The 15,533-nt window shown below is 36.9% G+C and overlaps 1 protein-coding gene and 1 pseudogene across 1 annotated transcript in view, besides 1 other annotated feature; both read right to left on the bottom strand.

The window, feature by feature from the left end:
- LEKR1 (leucine, glutamate and lysine rich 1) overlaps nt 1–15,533 on the bottom strand; it is a 219,777-nt gene that overhangs the window by 67,676 nt on the left and 136,568 nt on the right. The gene's annotated exons all lie outside the window — the stretch shown is intronic.
- Nucleotides 326–1,581, bottom strand: KLF3P2 (KLF3 pseudogene 2; annotated as a pseudogene).
- Nucleotides 11,874–12,031: a silencer, noted in NCBI's record as "fragment chr3:156684212-156684369 (GRCh37/hg19 assembly coordinates)". NCBI's record gives its function as "represses an EF-1alpha promoter that drives an FKBP-Casp9 reporter gene in an ReSE screen in K562 erythroleukemia cells {active_cell/tissue: K562}" and the evidence as "EXISTENCE:reporter gene assay evidence [ECO:0000049][PMID:32094911]".

Raw genomic sequence — 15,533 nt, 5'->3', positions numbered from 1 at the left:
TTTTGAGAATAAGTTATAATGGAAAACAAACTGATAGACTGGTTGGTGTCTCCAGAAAAAAAATGTTCAAAACACTGGAGTTGTAAAATTTCTATGTTCCATCTGTTCAGGTGTTTCAGTGACATATTTTAATAGTAAACTTTAAAATCTTTATGCATCCATATAAATACATAAAACTATATAAATCGGCATTCTTAACTTTATTTTACAAAGAGTTAGTTCCTTAAATTAGAAAATAAATTCACTCTAAACAAATGTTTTAATTAGCATTTACCAGACATTTGTATAAACCTTTGTTTATCCAGTGCTTTTACATACATTAATTTTTGTTTCTTAGTTTACATGTTTTCTTGTTCTTATTACATTAACTTTATCTATCTCTAAGAATAGTTTGCTTAGCATCTCTAAAAAAAGTTCTCATTTTTTAGGTCACCCATGGTAAGGAGAGGGAGGATTAGAGAGTACCTGCTACTGACCATATGGAAGTTTTGGATGATATAAATTCAGAGGATCAGACCAGCTGAATCAAAATTAAAATGTACATGTAAAAAGTGTGATAGATAATGGTGGGAGTATAGAGAAAGAGCCAGGTGAGTAGGGAGTCATGTTGAGGTGGGAGACAAAGGCATTCAGACTAGCATGTGGCGTTTCCTGTAGAAGGCAAGATGGTCAGAACAGAAGCTGTGGTTACAGTCCAGGCACCAAAAAGATTTGACTCCAGTATGTTTTCAGAAATGTCTTATTTATCAGACAGAGCAAACTTCCATATGCATCCATCCCATGTACATTTGTAGGGTTTATCTCCTGTGTGTGTTCTTCTGTATGATTTCACGTGGAAACTTTTAGTGTATACTTTGTTGCATATGTCATAATCACATCTGTGTATCCTCTGCTTCCTTTGAGTTATCCACCAATTCCATCAGTAAAGGTCTCTTCCCAGGCTGCACTATGACCTAAGGGAGATTCTCTTGCAACAATGCTTGTTGCAAGGGGTGGGCACTGAGTTCATTAAGGGGGGGTGACATTTCTTCAGGATAATAATCTGTCCTCTGTTGTTTGATCACAGGTTCAATTTTTTTTCCTATGCTATAGGCTTCTTATATGATTCAATTACAGGTACTTGCATGCTACTATTTGAATTCTCCATTTCCTCCAACAAGGAAACAATGAGAGGCTGCTGGAGGTAACTCATTTACATAAAGGGGACAGACCATACCACCACCAGGCAGGATCCCTAGGCTCTGTATTCTGTGCCAGGAGAAGGCAGCTGCCATCACCGGTGGCATGGAGAGTGGCACGCCAAAGGGCTGCATGCCCAGAGAAGAGAGTGAGTATTTTTCATCATGGGCTGGAAGAAGGCATGCTCAGCTCTGGAGAGGCTCTCCAGTTCAAGGATGGGAACTTCAGAGAGGAAGAATTCCCAGCCAAACGGGTGAACTCCACTTGTTTACTGTGAGGTCCACTGGCTCCATCTGTATTCCATGCAATAAGCCTTCCCGGGTCTGAAAAAACTTATTAGGTAATGGTGTAGAGTAGATGACCCATACTTGTTAGGTTTTATTGATTTCATATAATTTCATGTATAGTCACAACTACCAAGAAAACTCTAAGGATTAGAGTAATTAACTTATCAAGGTCACTCAGCTAGTTAGATCCTATAATTCAAACTCAGGTCTGCCTGATCCTAAAGTTCTTATATCTCTCACACTTGAAATATAAACTCTTGAGATATAAAAGCTGCAAGAGAATATGATATTGTCCATAAGAGTGTGGTAAGTGTGGCTACAAATCTGTTACCATATTCCCAGAATCCTTAAAGAGGTATACTTAAGACAAATGAAAAGAATTACTTAACAATGAAATATGCAGTAAACTGGTAGAATTTCTAACTCCAAAAGGTGGTTTAGATTTTAGTTTTAGAAAGCTTAAATATATATTATAGTTAATAAAAATATTAATAAAATTATGGTGTTACTGTGACTGATTCCATGAGAAGATTTCATCAGAGAGAACAATCACACCTTACTATTAAATGGCCCCTGGTGCTTTTGTCAGGATATGATCCTAAACTAGATGAAGCATAGGTCTGAGCCCATATGATAAATTTTATGTTATTACTTCTAAATGCAGCTATAAATTAAAAGGAAGACTTATCTTAAAATGAACTTCAAAGAACTGGTACTTGATATGTAATTTTATGCAGTTAATTCTCAATTACCTGAGAATTAGTAGAATAATAGACAGTAAAAATGGCAGCTAATTCAAAGCTTTGCTCTTCTGAATGAAATATAAACATCCTACTAGTTCACTATAGGTTCTGGTAGACTAGTCTGGTCCTTTTGTTTTTAGAAGCAGAGTGCCCAGTTCCTGTCCTTAATAAATAAAGAAACACCATTAGGATAAGCTGCAGAGAGATTAAGCCACCTGCACAAAACAGCTCCTTCAGTTTCTGAGGCAAGGAGTTGTTAAATAAGTGTATTATTGTTCTGCCCAGTCCTTCTCTATAGTTAAAGAAATTCGACTTTAATTTTCTGTCACTCAGCATGACATTGGATTATGAGGAACAAGGCCCTAAATGCCTACAAAAATAAAGGAAGCATTGGCTTTAAACACCATGCAGATGTAAGGCAGAACCCATGGAAACAATAAAAAATTTACAACAGTAAATTCTACTATGATGTGACTGTGTTCTTTGCAGATATTAAATAAGAAGTAAATGATTTTAAATGAACAAGACAGAAAGAGTTCTTAACCTCTCTTCATATGAAGCCAGCTGTTTGCTGGATAGCATTACACAGGCATCAGATTTGGGATAATCAGTCATTTAAGAGAATCCTGCTATCCCTACAGGTTTCTAGAAACTACAAATATAAAAGGTATTCATAATTAGCTATTTTATAGGCTGATATAAAACTTCATAGTCACTTGGAGGGCACATTAAGTTAGTATAATGTTTGAGAAAACAGTAACTAAAACCTATATAGTGGAAAGTTATTTCAAGCTTAAAACTTACTGGATAAAGGAAACGCAAAACATTTAAAAATCTGGTTCAAAGTGCTATGTGGAGGAAAATGATTCCAGGTTAAAGTAGCATAATGGAAGAACAAGCAGGCAGATGAACTGGCACCCAGAGATCAGGGAAATTTTTTTTTTAATGTAAAATAGAAGGCTGTACTTTTTTATTGTATAGGTAATTGAAGACAAGGAAAAACAAGAACTCAACACTTGTCTGTGACAGGATAGTTTAAAGGTGTCATGCAGGAGCTCTTTAGAGTGCCAGACTGCCTAATTTCAAATCCTGGCTCTGCTTCCTGTTAACTGTTAACTCCAGTTTCATTATCTGTAAAATAGTCACTATCATACAGGACTGTTCTGATAATTAAATTACTTAATGTATGTAAAGAAGGGGAATAGTTGCAGGCACATTGGGAGTAACACGCACATGTTAGCTATTATCATTGGTGGTGGCATGAAGGCTACTCTTCCACTTCTGCCCTGAATCTCATCACTTCTCACCTTGAGGATATGCTGTTTTTGCACTTGGACCTGGTGTCACCAGTAGCTATCTTTGTATGGGGAGGAGTAAAAATGGAAGTGTTAATTGTCTTTTTCTTCTTTAACAATCTATAGTGCAACTATGGCAAAATTTTAAAACTTGTTAACTATGGATGATGGGAACACATACATGTTGTATTATTCTATTTTTCTGTTAGAAAAATTTATAGGTATATTAATTAGAGGGGGGCGTTGCTGGCACGGGTCAAGGATGATAGCATGTTTTGTACTACAGAGTCTAATCAACTCTGTTCTATGTGCCCAAGGTACAAAAGAAAACAAACAAAAAAGGGCAAGAAAGCTTTTTGGAGGGTAGTGGGGAGGAGATAATGTTTGAAACAGCAATTAAAGACACCCCATTTGATTCCATGAATAGGGAGCAGAAAAACTGAATTGCAGCTGGAGGTGAATATGGTAACAAGGAGCGTTGTCAGTTTTGTTTCGTTTTTAATATGGGTGAAACTGAGATGTTCATTTTCATTTGGGAATGATCCATTCTAGAGAGCATTTATGCTTGTGAATTTAATGTATACCTTCTAACCTGCATCTTAACATGTGAAAAAATTATTCGTTTTGAAGGTGTTTTAAAAATTACACAAATCAAGTTAAACTACAAGTCTCATTTTGACTCTTATTCTTTTTAGTCAATATTATGTTTTTTGAGACCTATCCATGTAGCTACATGTAGATATGATTCACTCTGCTCTGACTGATACATAATATTTCATCATGTGCACATACCACATTTTACTTATCCAGTACCATAGTGATAGAACCTAGGTTACCTGAAACCTTGTCACCATAAATAATCCTACAATGAAAGTTTTTTACCCATCTTGTTGTGTACTTATAGGACAATTTGTCTGCAGTATGTCTCCAGGGCGGTATTAGGTATTAAGTATGAGATCATAGGAATACACATAAATACTGCCAAATGGTTCCCAAAATGGAGGCACTAGCTTACATTCCTACTTCACTGAATAAAGGCTCCTGCTTTATAACATTTATTAGAAGCAGCTAATATTCATTAGAAACAGCTATTTTTCTAATTTTTGCCAATATGAAGAATACAAAGTAGTGTCTCTGGTTTAACTTGCAGTTCTCTGCTTCCTTTTGGAGCTGAGCACCTCACCTTATACTTCTTGGCCATTCATGACTCTCCTTTTATGATTTGCCTTTTCCTCAGTCTCTTTTCTATCCATTCCAATTGAGCTTTCTTTTTCACTCCTCCACAGAAACAGCTCTTTTCAAGGTGATGAATGATGGTCTATATTGGCAATTTCAAAATTTAATTCTCTGTTCTTATCGAATTCAAATATTACGCAGCATGTGACCCAGTTATTTTCTCTCTCTTGGCAATATTCTGGCTATCTTCTCAGGTTCTGTTGATTATTCTTAATCTTAGATTCACTCTAAATGCTGGGAAGCACAAGGAGCTCAGCCCCTAGCCCTTTTCTCTAGCTGCATTATCTCCCAAGATAATTTCATCTAGTTTCATGGCTTCGAATAGCATCTATATATGGGTGTCTTCCATCATCATCATCATAGCTAATAAATGTGGAATACTTACTATGTACCAGGTACTATACCCTAAGTGCTTTACACTCATTGAATCATTTCAATGTAAACTTACTAGAATGTAAGTTTCATGAGAACAGGAACCTTATCTGTTATAGTGCTTGAGACATGGAAGTTGATTAAAAAATAATCACTGAAAGAATGAATAAAACTTCGCAGACTTTAGAAATAAGAGTGCCTGCAAATATGTTTAGAATTAAGTGCCTAAGATTAAAATACAGTACATGAAACAAAAAATAGTTCTGCAGTTTTCATTGATATTATCTGGTATGTGTCTTGGCATTAAAATGTAACTTTCTTATTTGTTATTTTATTTCAATAGACACTTATTAAACACCTACTCTATTTGTAGCTAGGTTTCACACTAGTTAGATTCAGTGTACAAATATCATTAAGATATATTTATTTGTCCTTATATAAATAACAAGTGCCTCATTTGGCCTTGGTGAATGAAAAATTAATCTTTTAAATAACAAATTAATAACTCATTTAAACTAACACCTGTCTTATTTTTTCACTATTTTAAATTATTTTATTTTTCACTATTTTAAATTATTTTACTCACTGTTTAAATTATTTAAATTAAGTTTATTTAAATTATTTTATTAAAATATAATATTATTTTATCTGCTTAGATTCAGTGTACAAATATCATTAAGATATATTTGTCCTTATATATATTACATATAAATTTGTCCTTATATAAATTACAATCAAGTGTCTCATTTGGCCTCGGTGAATGATATATTAATCTTTTAAATAACAAATTAATAACTCATTTAAACTAAAATCTGTTTTATTTTTTCACTATTTATTTATTTATTTTTATTATACTTTAAGTTTTAGGGTACATGTGCACAACGTGCAGGTTAGTTACATGTGTATACATGTGCCATGTTGGTGTGCTGCACCCATTAACTCGTCATTTAACATTAGGTATATCTCCTAATGCTATCCCTCCCCCCTCCTCCGACCCCATAACAGGCCCCCGTGTGTGTGATGTTCCCCTTCCTGTGTCCATGTATTCTCATTGTTCAATTCCCACCTATAAGTGAGAACATGCGGTGTTTGGTTTTTTGTCCTTGTGATAGTTTGCTGAGAATGATGGTTTCCAGCTTCATCCATGTACCTACAAAGGACATGAACTCATCCTTTTTTATGGCTGCATAGTATTCCATGGTGTATATGTGCCATATTTTCTTAATCCAGTCTATAATAGTTGGACATTTGGCTTGGTTCCAAGTCTTTGCTATTGTGAATAGTGCCGCAATAAACATACATGTGCATGTATCTTTATAGCAGCATGATTTATAATCCTTTCAGTATGTACCCAGTAATGGCATTGCTGGGTCAAATGGTATTTCTAGTTCTAGATCCCTGAGGAATAGCCACACTGACTTCCACAATGGTTGAACTAGTTTACACTCCCACCAACAGTGTAAAAGTGTTGCTATTTCTCTACATCCTCTCCAGCACCTGTTGTTTCCTGACTTTTTAATGATTGCCATTCTAACTGGTGTGAGATGGTATCTCATTGTGGTTTTGATTTGCATTTCTCTGATGGCCAGTGATGATGAGCATTTTTTCACGTGTCTTTTGGCTGCATAAATGTCTTCTTTTGAGAAGTGTCTGTTCATATCCTTCGCCCACTTTTTGATGGGGTTGTTTGTTTTTTTCTTGTAAATTTGTTTGAGTTCTTTGTAGATTCTGGATATTAGCCCTTTGTCAGATGAGTAGATTGCAAAAATTTTCTCCCATTTTGTAGGTTGCCTGTTCACTCTGATGGTAGTTTCTTTTGCTGTGCAGAAGCTCTTTAGTTCAATTAGATCCCATTTGTCAATTTTGCCTTTTGTTGTCATTGCTTTTGGTGTTTTAGACATGAAGTCCTTGCCCATGCCTATGTCCTGAATTGTATTGCCTAGGTTTTCTTCTAGGGTTTTTATGGTTTCAGGTCCAACATTTAAGTCTTTAATCCATCTTGAATTAATTTTTGTATAAGGTGTAAGGAAGGGATCCAGTTTCAGCTTTCTACATATGGCTAGCCAGTTTTCCCAGCACCATTTATTAAATAGGGAATCCTTTCCCCATTTCTTGTTTTTGTCAGGTTTGTCAAAGATCAGATGGTCGTAGACATGCGGCGTTATTTCTGAGGGCTCTCTTCTGTTCCATTAGTCTATGTCTCTATTTCAGTACCAGTACCATGCTGTTTTGTTTACTGTAGCCTTGTAGTATAGTTTGAAGTCAGGTAGCGTGATGCCTCCAGCTTTGTTCTTTTGGCTTAGGATTGACTTGGCGATGCGGGCTCTTTTTTGGTTCCATATGAACTTTAAAGTAGTTTTTTCCAATTCTGTGAAGAAAGTCATTGGTAGCTTGATGGGGATGGCATTGAATCTATAGATTACCTTGGGCAGTATGGCCATTTTCATGACATTGATTCTTCCTACCCATGAGCATGGAATGTTCTTCCATTTGTTTGTATCCTCTTTTATTTCCTTGAGCAGTGGTTTGTAATTCTCCTTGAAGAGGTCCTTCACATCCCTTGTAAGTTGGATTCCTAGGTATTTTATTCTCTTTGAAGCAATTGTGAATGGGAGTTCACTTATGATTTGGCTCTCTGTCTGTTATTGGTGTATAAGAATGCTTGTGATTTTTGCACATTGATTTTGTATCCTGAGACTTTGCTGAAGTTGCCTATCAGCTTAAGGAGATTTTGGGCTGAGACAATGGGGTTTTCTAGATACACAATCATGTCATCTGCAAACACGGACAATTTGACTTCCTCTTTTCCCAACTAGATCCCTTCCTTACACCTTATACAAAAATCAATTCAAGATGGATTAAAGACTTAAACGTTAGACCTAAAACCATAAAAACCCTAGAAGAAAACCTAGGCATTACCATTCAGGACATAGGCATGGGCAAGGACTTCATGTCCAAAACACCAAAAGCAATGGCAACAAAAGACAAAATTGACAAATGGGATCTAATTAAACTAAAGAGCTCTTTTCCTAATTGAATACCCTTTATTTCCTTCTCCAGCCTGATTGCCCTGGCCAGAACTTCCATCATTATGTTGAATAGGAGTGGTGAGAGAGGGCATCCCTGTCTTGTGCCAGTTTTCAAAGGGAATGCTTCCAGTTTTTGCCCATTCAGCATGATATTGGCTGTGGGTTTGTCATAGATAGCTCTTATTATTTTGAGATATGTCCCATCAATACCTAATTTATTGAGAGTTTTTAGCATGAAGGTTGTTGAATTTTGTCAAATGCCTTTTCTGCATCTATTGAGATAATCATATGGTTTTTGTCATTGGTTCTGTTTATATGCTGGATTATGTTTATTGATTTGCATATGTTGAACCAGCCTTGCATCCCAGGGATGAAGCCCACTTGATCATGGTGGATATGCTTTTTGATGTGCTGCTGGATATGGTTTGCCAGTATTTTACTGAGGATTTTTGCATTGATGTTCATCAGGGATATTGGTCGAAAATTCTCTTTTTTTGTTGTGTCTCTGCCAGGCTTTGGTATCAGGATGATGCTGGCCTCATAAAATGAGTTAGGGAGGATTCCCTCTTTTGCTATTGATTGGAATAGTTTCAGAAGGAATGGTACCAGCTCCTCCTTGTACCTCTGGTAGAATTCGGCTGTGAATCCATCTGGTCCTGGACTTTTTTTGGTTGGTAAGCTATTCATTATTGCCCCAATTTCAGAGCCTGTTATTGGTCTATTCAGAGATTCAATTTCTTCCTGGTTTAGTCTTGGGAGGGTGTATGTGTTGAGGAATTTATCCATTTCTTCTAGATTTTATAGTTTATTTGCATAGAGGTGTTTATAGTATTCTCTGATGGTGGTTTGTATTTCTGTGGGATCAGTGGTGATATCTCCTTTACCATTTTTTATTGCGTCTATTTGATTCTTGTCTCTTTTCTTCTTTATTAGTCTTGCTAGGGGTCTATCAATTTTGTTGATCTTTTCAAAAAACCAGCTCCTGGATTCATTGATTTTTTGAAGGGTTTTTTGTGTCTCTACTTCCTTCAGTTCTGCTCTCATCTATTTCTTGCCTTCTGCTAGCTTTTGAATGTGTCTGCTCTTGCTTCTCTAGTTCTTTTAATTGTGATGTTAGGGTGTCAATTTTAGATCTTTCTTGCTTTCTCTTGTGGGCATTTAGTGCTATAAATTTCCCTCTACACACTGCTTTGAATGTGTCCCAGAGATTCTGGTATGTTGTGTCTTTGTTCTCGTTGGTTTCAAAGAACATCTTTATTTCTGCCTTCATTTCATTATGTACCCAGTAGTCATTCAGGAGCAGGTTGTTCAGTTTCCATATAGTTGAGCAGTTTTGAGTGAGTTTCTTAATCCTGAGTTCTAGTTTGATTGCACTGTGGTCTGAAAGGCAGTTTGTTATAATTTCTGTTCTTGTACATTTGCTGAGGAGTGCTTTACTTCCAACTATGTGGTCAATTTTGGAATAAGTGCAGTGTGGTGCTGACTGAGAAGAATGTATATTCTGTTGATTTGGGGTGGAGAGTTCTGTAGATGTCTATTAGGTCTGCTTGGTGAAGAGCTGAGTTCAATTCCTGGATATCCTTGTTAACTTTCTGTCTCATTGATCTGTCTAATGTTGACAGTGGGGTGTTAAAATCTCCCATTATTATTGTGGGGGAGTCTAAGTCTCTTTCTAGGTCTCTAAGGACTTGCTTTATGAATCTTGGTGCTCCTGTATTGGGTGCATATATATTTAGGATAGTTAGCTCTTCTTGTTGAATTGATCCCTTTACCATTATGTAATGGCCTTGTCTCTTTTGATCTTTGTTGGTTTAAAGTTTGTTTTATCAGAGACTAGGATTGCAACTCCTGCCTTCTTTTGTTTTCCATTTGCTTGGTAGATCTTCCTCCATCCCTTTATTTTGAGCCTATGTGTGTCTCTGCATGTGAGATGGGTTTCCTGAATACAGCACACTGATGGGTCTTGACTCTTGATCCAATTTGCCAGTCTGTGTCTTTTAATTGGAACATTTAGTCCATTTACATTTAAGGTTAATATTGTTTTGTGTGAAATTGATCCTGTCATTATGATGTTAGCTGGTTATTTTGCTCGTTAGTTGATGCAGTTTCTTCCTAGCCTCGATGGTCTTTACAATTTGTCATGTTTTTGCAGCGGCTGGTACTGGTTGTTCCTTTCCATGTTTAGTGCTTCCTTCAGGAGCTCTTTTAGGGCAGGCCTGGTGGTGACAAAATCTCTCAGCATTTGCTTGTCTGTAAAGGATTTTATTTCTCCTTCACTTATGAAGCTTAGTTTGGCTGGATATGAAATTCTGGATTGAAAATTCTTTTCTTTAAGAATGTTGAATATTGGCCCCGCCTCTCTTCTGGCTTGTAGAGTTTCTGCTGAGAGATCTGCTGTTAGTCTAATGGGCTTCCCTTTGTGGGTAACCCGACCTTTCTCTCTGGCTGCCCTTAACATTTTTTCCTTCATTTCAATTTTGGTGAATCTGACAATTATGTGTCTTGGAGTTGCTCTTCTCGAGGAGTATCTTTGTGGCATTCTCTGTATCTCCTGAATTTGAATGTTGGCCTGCTTTGCTAGATTGGGGAAGTTCTCCTGGATAATATCCTGCAGAGTGTTTTCCAACTTGGTTCCATTCTCCCCATCACTTTCAGGTACACCAATCAGATGTAGATTTGGTCTTTTCACATAGTCCCATATTTCTTGGAGGCTTTGTTCATTTCTTTTTATTCTTTTTTCTCTAAACTTCTCTTCTTGCTTCATTTCATTCATTTGATCTTCCATCACTGATACCCTTTCTTCCAGTTGATCAAATCGGCTAATGAGGCTTGTGCATTCATCACATAGTTCTCGTGCCTTGATTTTCAGCTCCATCAGGTCCTTTAAGGACTTCTCTGCACTGGTTATTCTAGTTATCCATTCGTCTAATTTTTTTTCAAGGTTTTTAACTTCTTTGCCATGGGTTCGAACTTCCTCCTTTAGCTCAGAGTAGTTTGATCGTCTGAAGCCTTCTCTCAACTTGTCAAAGTCATTCTCCATCCAGCTTTGTTCCGTTGCTGGTGAGGAGCTGCGTTCCTTTGGAGGAGGAGAGGTGTTCTGATTTCTAGAGTTTCCAGTTTTTCTGCTCTGTTTTTTCCCCATCTTTGTGGTTTTACCTACCTTTGGTCTTTGATGATGGTGACGTACAGATGGGGTTTGGGTGTGGATGTCCTTTCTGTTTGTTAGTTTTCCTTCTAACAGTCAGGACCCTCAGCTGCAGGTCTGTTGGAGTTTGCTGGAGGTCCACTCCAGACCCTGTTTGCCTGGGTATCAGCAGCGGAGGCTGCAGAACAGCATATATTTGTGGGCAGCAAATGTTGCTGCCTGATCGTTCCTCTGGAAGTTTTGTCTCAGACGAGTACCTGGCTGTGTGAGGTGTCAGTCTGCCCCTACTGGGGGGTGCCTCCCAGTTAGGCTACTTGGAGGTCAGGGACCCACTTGAGGAGGCAGTCTGTCCATTCTCAGATCTCCAGCTGCGTGCTGGGAGAACCACTACTCTCTTCAGAGCTGTTGGACAGGGACATTCAAGTCTGCAGAGGATTCTGATGCCTTTTGTTTGGCTATGCCCTGCCCCCAGAGGTGGAGTCTACGGAGGCAGGCAGGCCTCCTTGAGCTGCGGTGGGCTTCACTCAGTTTGAGCTTCCTGGCTGCTTTGTTTACCTACTCAAGCCTCGGCAATGGCAGGCACCCCTCCCCCAGCCTCACTGCCACCTTGCAGTTTGATCTCAGACTGCTGTGCTAGCAATGAGCGAGGCTCCATGGGCGCAGGACCCTCCACGCCCGGTGCGGGATATAATCTCCTGATGTGTCATTTGCTAAGATCATTGGAAAAGCGCAGTATTAGGGTGGAAGTGACACGATTTTCCAGGTGCTGTCTGTCACCCCTTTCTTTTACTAGGAAAGGGAATTCCCTGACTCCTTGCACTTCCCGGGTGAGGCGATGCCTCACCCTGCTTCAGCTCACACTCGGTGTGCTGCACCCACTGTCCTGCACCCAATTTCCAACACTCCCCAGTGAGATGAACCCAGTACCTCAGTTGGAAATGCAGAAATCACCCGTCTTCTGCGTCACTCATGCTGGGAGCTGTGGACTGGAGCTGTTCCTATTCGGCCATCTTGGCTCCACCCCCATCACTATTTATTTTATTTATTTATCTGTTTTATTTTTTCACTATTTTAAATTATTTATTTAGTTACATTAGTTAATTACATGGTTGAAATTGTGAGATTTCTAATAAAATATAACTGACCTGAATATACAAAATCAGTCTGCTGCATTAGATATAATTTATACATATATATTATCATATCACAGTTTGATGAGCTATTAGCCTTTTACAAAAGTAATATCTCATTTAAAATTTTTATAATGAGCATTCAGAGTAAACCCTTGCACATGCAAAAATATATACCAATAATAGAAGTAATTCTTTAATAAGTACTTAACTGTGTCAATATCAAATTAACATATTTTAACTTTAGCAAACATTTTTCAAAGCTCAAGTGGTAATACAAAACTCAAATGGTAATACAGCCACTTACATAATTCATTTCATTTTAGGGTTTATATTTTAGAGGTTTAATTTACATCTATTTGAAACAAGTGTTCTTGAAGTACATTTAACATTTCCTGCATTATCCTAGAAGGGACTAAAATAGTATGTGGAGATTTTATAAATCAGATGCTAGAATAAGTATGGATATATAATTAAAAAGATGCAATTCAATACAGATGTAGTTACATTAAAACCAGAAAATTATTTTGCTGTGTGTGGGGATAGAAGGGAAGAGTAGATTAAACCAAGCTAAGGAGATAATCAGAATATTTAAAATTTATAAATGAATTACATTCTAATATTAAGGACCAACACTTTCACTTCAGAATTGTTCATGCAAAAAATGCTTCTGTTTCTGCTGCGTTTTTTAATCTTAACATTAAAACAACCCAATATAACATGAAGATAATTGTAATTTATAGGGACTTATAAAATATGACAAATTATGAAAGGATAAGAAAGGAATTTTTAAATTCTAGTTTGTGTGTGTGTATATGTGTGTTTACCATGATTAAATTATTTAACCACTCTATCTAGACTGGCAAAATGAATATAATACTTTACCTATCACATAGGAAAAATACTGATGGATTTAGAAACTTTTCTGAATGTTTTAGAGCAGTATTTTGTTGTTCCAAATTTTGCATAAAATCACACAATCACATGTATTTATAAGTTATAATGAGATTTTTCAAAACCAGAAAATGGATACGGACAGCCTAGAGTAAACAAAGTAGGAAGGGACATGGACCTACAATGAAATGAACAGAATATTAGCTGAAAACATTTAGGGAATAAAGAAGAAAAGACGTAGGGTTAATAATAAAGTAAGTTAATAAATAAAAGAGAAGTTTAGGTCTAAAAATATTTAGGACATTTTCCAGTAGTGTTACATAACTACATAAACATCAACTTCTTTTAATGAATCAGTGTATTTCATAATCAGAGATCATGCTTACAGAGATTCCTGTACGCAGGGCTAATTCTGTGCAAAACTGAAGGAGATGGAGTGTATCTTCAGCCACCGAGTACTGACTCTTCTTTCTGAACACTTTTTCTCTGTGCTAGGATGGCAGTAAAATAGGCAAAAGACAAGGAGTTTTCTCCTTGTCTTCTAAAGAGTCTTTTCATGCTACAAAACTACTCTGAACTAACTGCACTCTTAAGAATTAATTCTACCACACAATTACATAATATAAAAGTAAAAAGCAACAAAACAACACAAATATGTTTTACAGTTTTAAGACTAAAGGAATTCTAAGGCAATACTCAGAGATATATAAAAATTTAATTATGAGGATGTTTATCATAATATTTTAATAAAAAAGAGTGAGAACAACTATCTAATAATAGGGTAGGATCAAATAAATTATGATTAATCCAAACAACAGAATACTATGAATATTTTTGACATGGAAGGATTTCATAATAAAGAAAATAGGAGGGGGGAAGGGTACGGATAATAAAACTCTTTTATCCTAATTTTATAAAACTATATATTCAAACAATAAAGTCTAGAAGGATTCACATCAAATGTTTATAATTCTATCTGAAAGTTGGAATTTCCTAATCAATAGTGAACATGTCTTATTTTGGTAAGGGAAAACAAAAAACCATCATATTAAAGTAGCCTAATACTAAACTATATAACATACTCATACCCATCTTATAACTCATCTTGCAAGCCATGGATGGTTCTTGTAAGCCATCATCAGGTATCCACTTTCCTCTAGACCTCTTCTGCCTTCCCCACATAAAAGCTTATGTTTACCATCAGCCAGGCTGGAAGTGGCCTGATACAGTAGCTCACTCTGAAGCATACATTAATGATAACAATGTATATGCTTTGGTGCTCCTAGGCAGTGGAAATCTGGTAGTAAAGTTCTGGAATCAGGTTCCAGTTCTGCTGATTAGTAGCTGTGTAGTCCTGGGCAAATGACTGAATTCCTCTAGGCCTTAGTAATTTCATTTGTAAACTGGAGATAATAAAAGTGCTTAACCCAGGAGGGTGATAGTAAGGGGGTACCTATGGCTGACATATGGCAAGTGGTATGTGAATGTCAGCTGCTATTTAGATTATAGTAGGAAATCTACCTGAACTCACAGGAATGATTTTTTTAATGATGTTAAGATAGTACCAGTGATTAGCTAGTAGTAGAGAGATGTTAGAGATGCTGCCAAGAGGTAAGAGACATTGGGCAAGAGGGTGGGAGTATGGGGAGAGATCATTAATTCCTCATTTAGACACTGTCACTATTATTCATATGCTGTCAGCCCATAAATGTGGATGAGCTGTAAATGTCTATGAGCAGCCGGTATGTTCTGTGCCTGGGTGAGTCCATGTGTAAAAGTGTCTGTGTGTGTAGGGAGGAGTGTGCCCACGTAGGTGTTAGGGAAGGAACAGATTAAAGCTCCTTTCTATTCACTGCTTAGCTGAGGTTTCCCTGAGGATGAATCATGCTTAGTATAGAAGCCGTGTATGACAGAGAAGACAGAACATCTATCATAGTTGTTCCTGATCAAGCCTAGTGTTAATCTTATGACAGGTGCCTAATAAATATTGCTGAATGACTAAATAAATTGGAAACTGGTATCTGAATGAGCAGAAGGAGACAACATTGGGATGGGATGATGTAGACACCTCAGGCTACAAGTATATATAATGGGAGAAAGAATGCAAGGGGCAAACTATCTGAGAGGGGTGAATTTAGGAAATCAGGCAAAGATCAGAAGCCATAGAATTTAAAAAATGAAGTCTAAAATTTATTCCCAAGGTCCTATGGTACAGTTAAAGAA

The sequence above is a fragment of the Homo sapiens genome, chromosome 3 (assembly GCF_000001405.40).
Source record: "Homo sapiens chromosome 3, GRCh38.p14 Primary Assembly".
Classification (NCBI taxonomy): Eukaryota; Metazoa; Chordata; class Mammalia; order Primates; family Hominidae; genus Homo; species Homo sapiens.
This window is presented reverse-complemented; position numbering and strand designations above follow the sequence as displayed.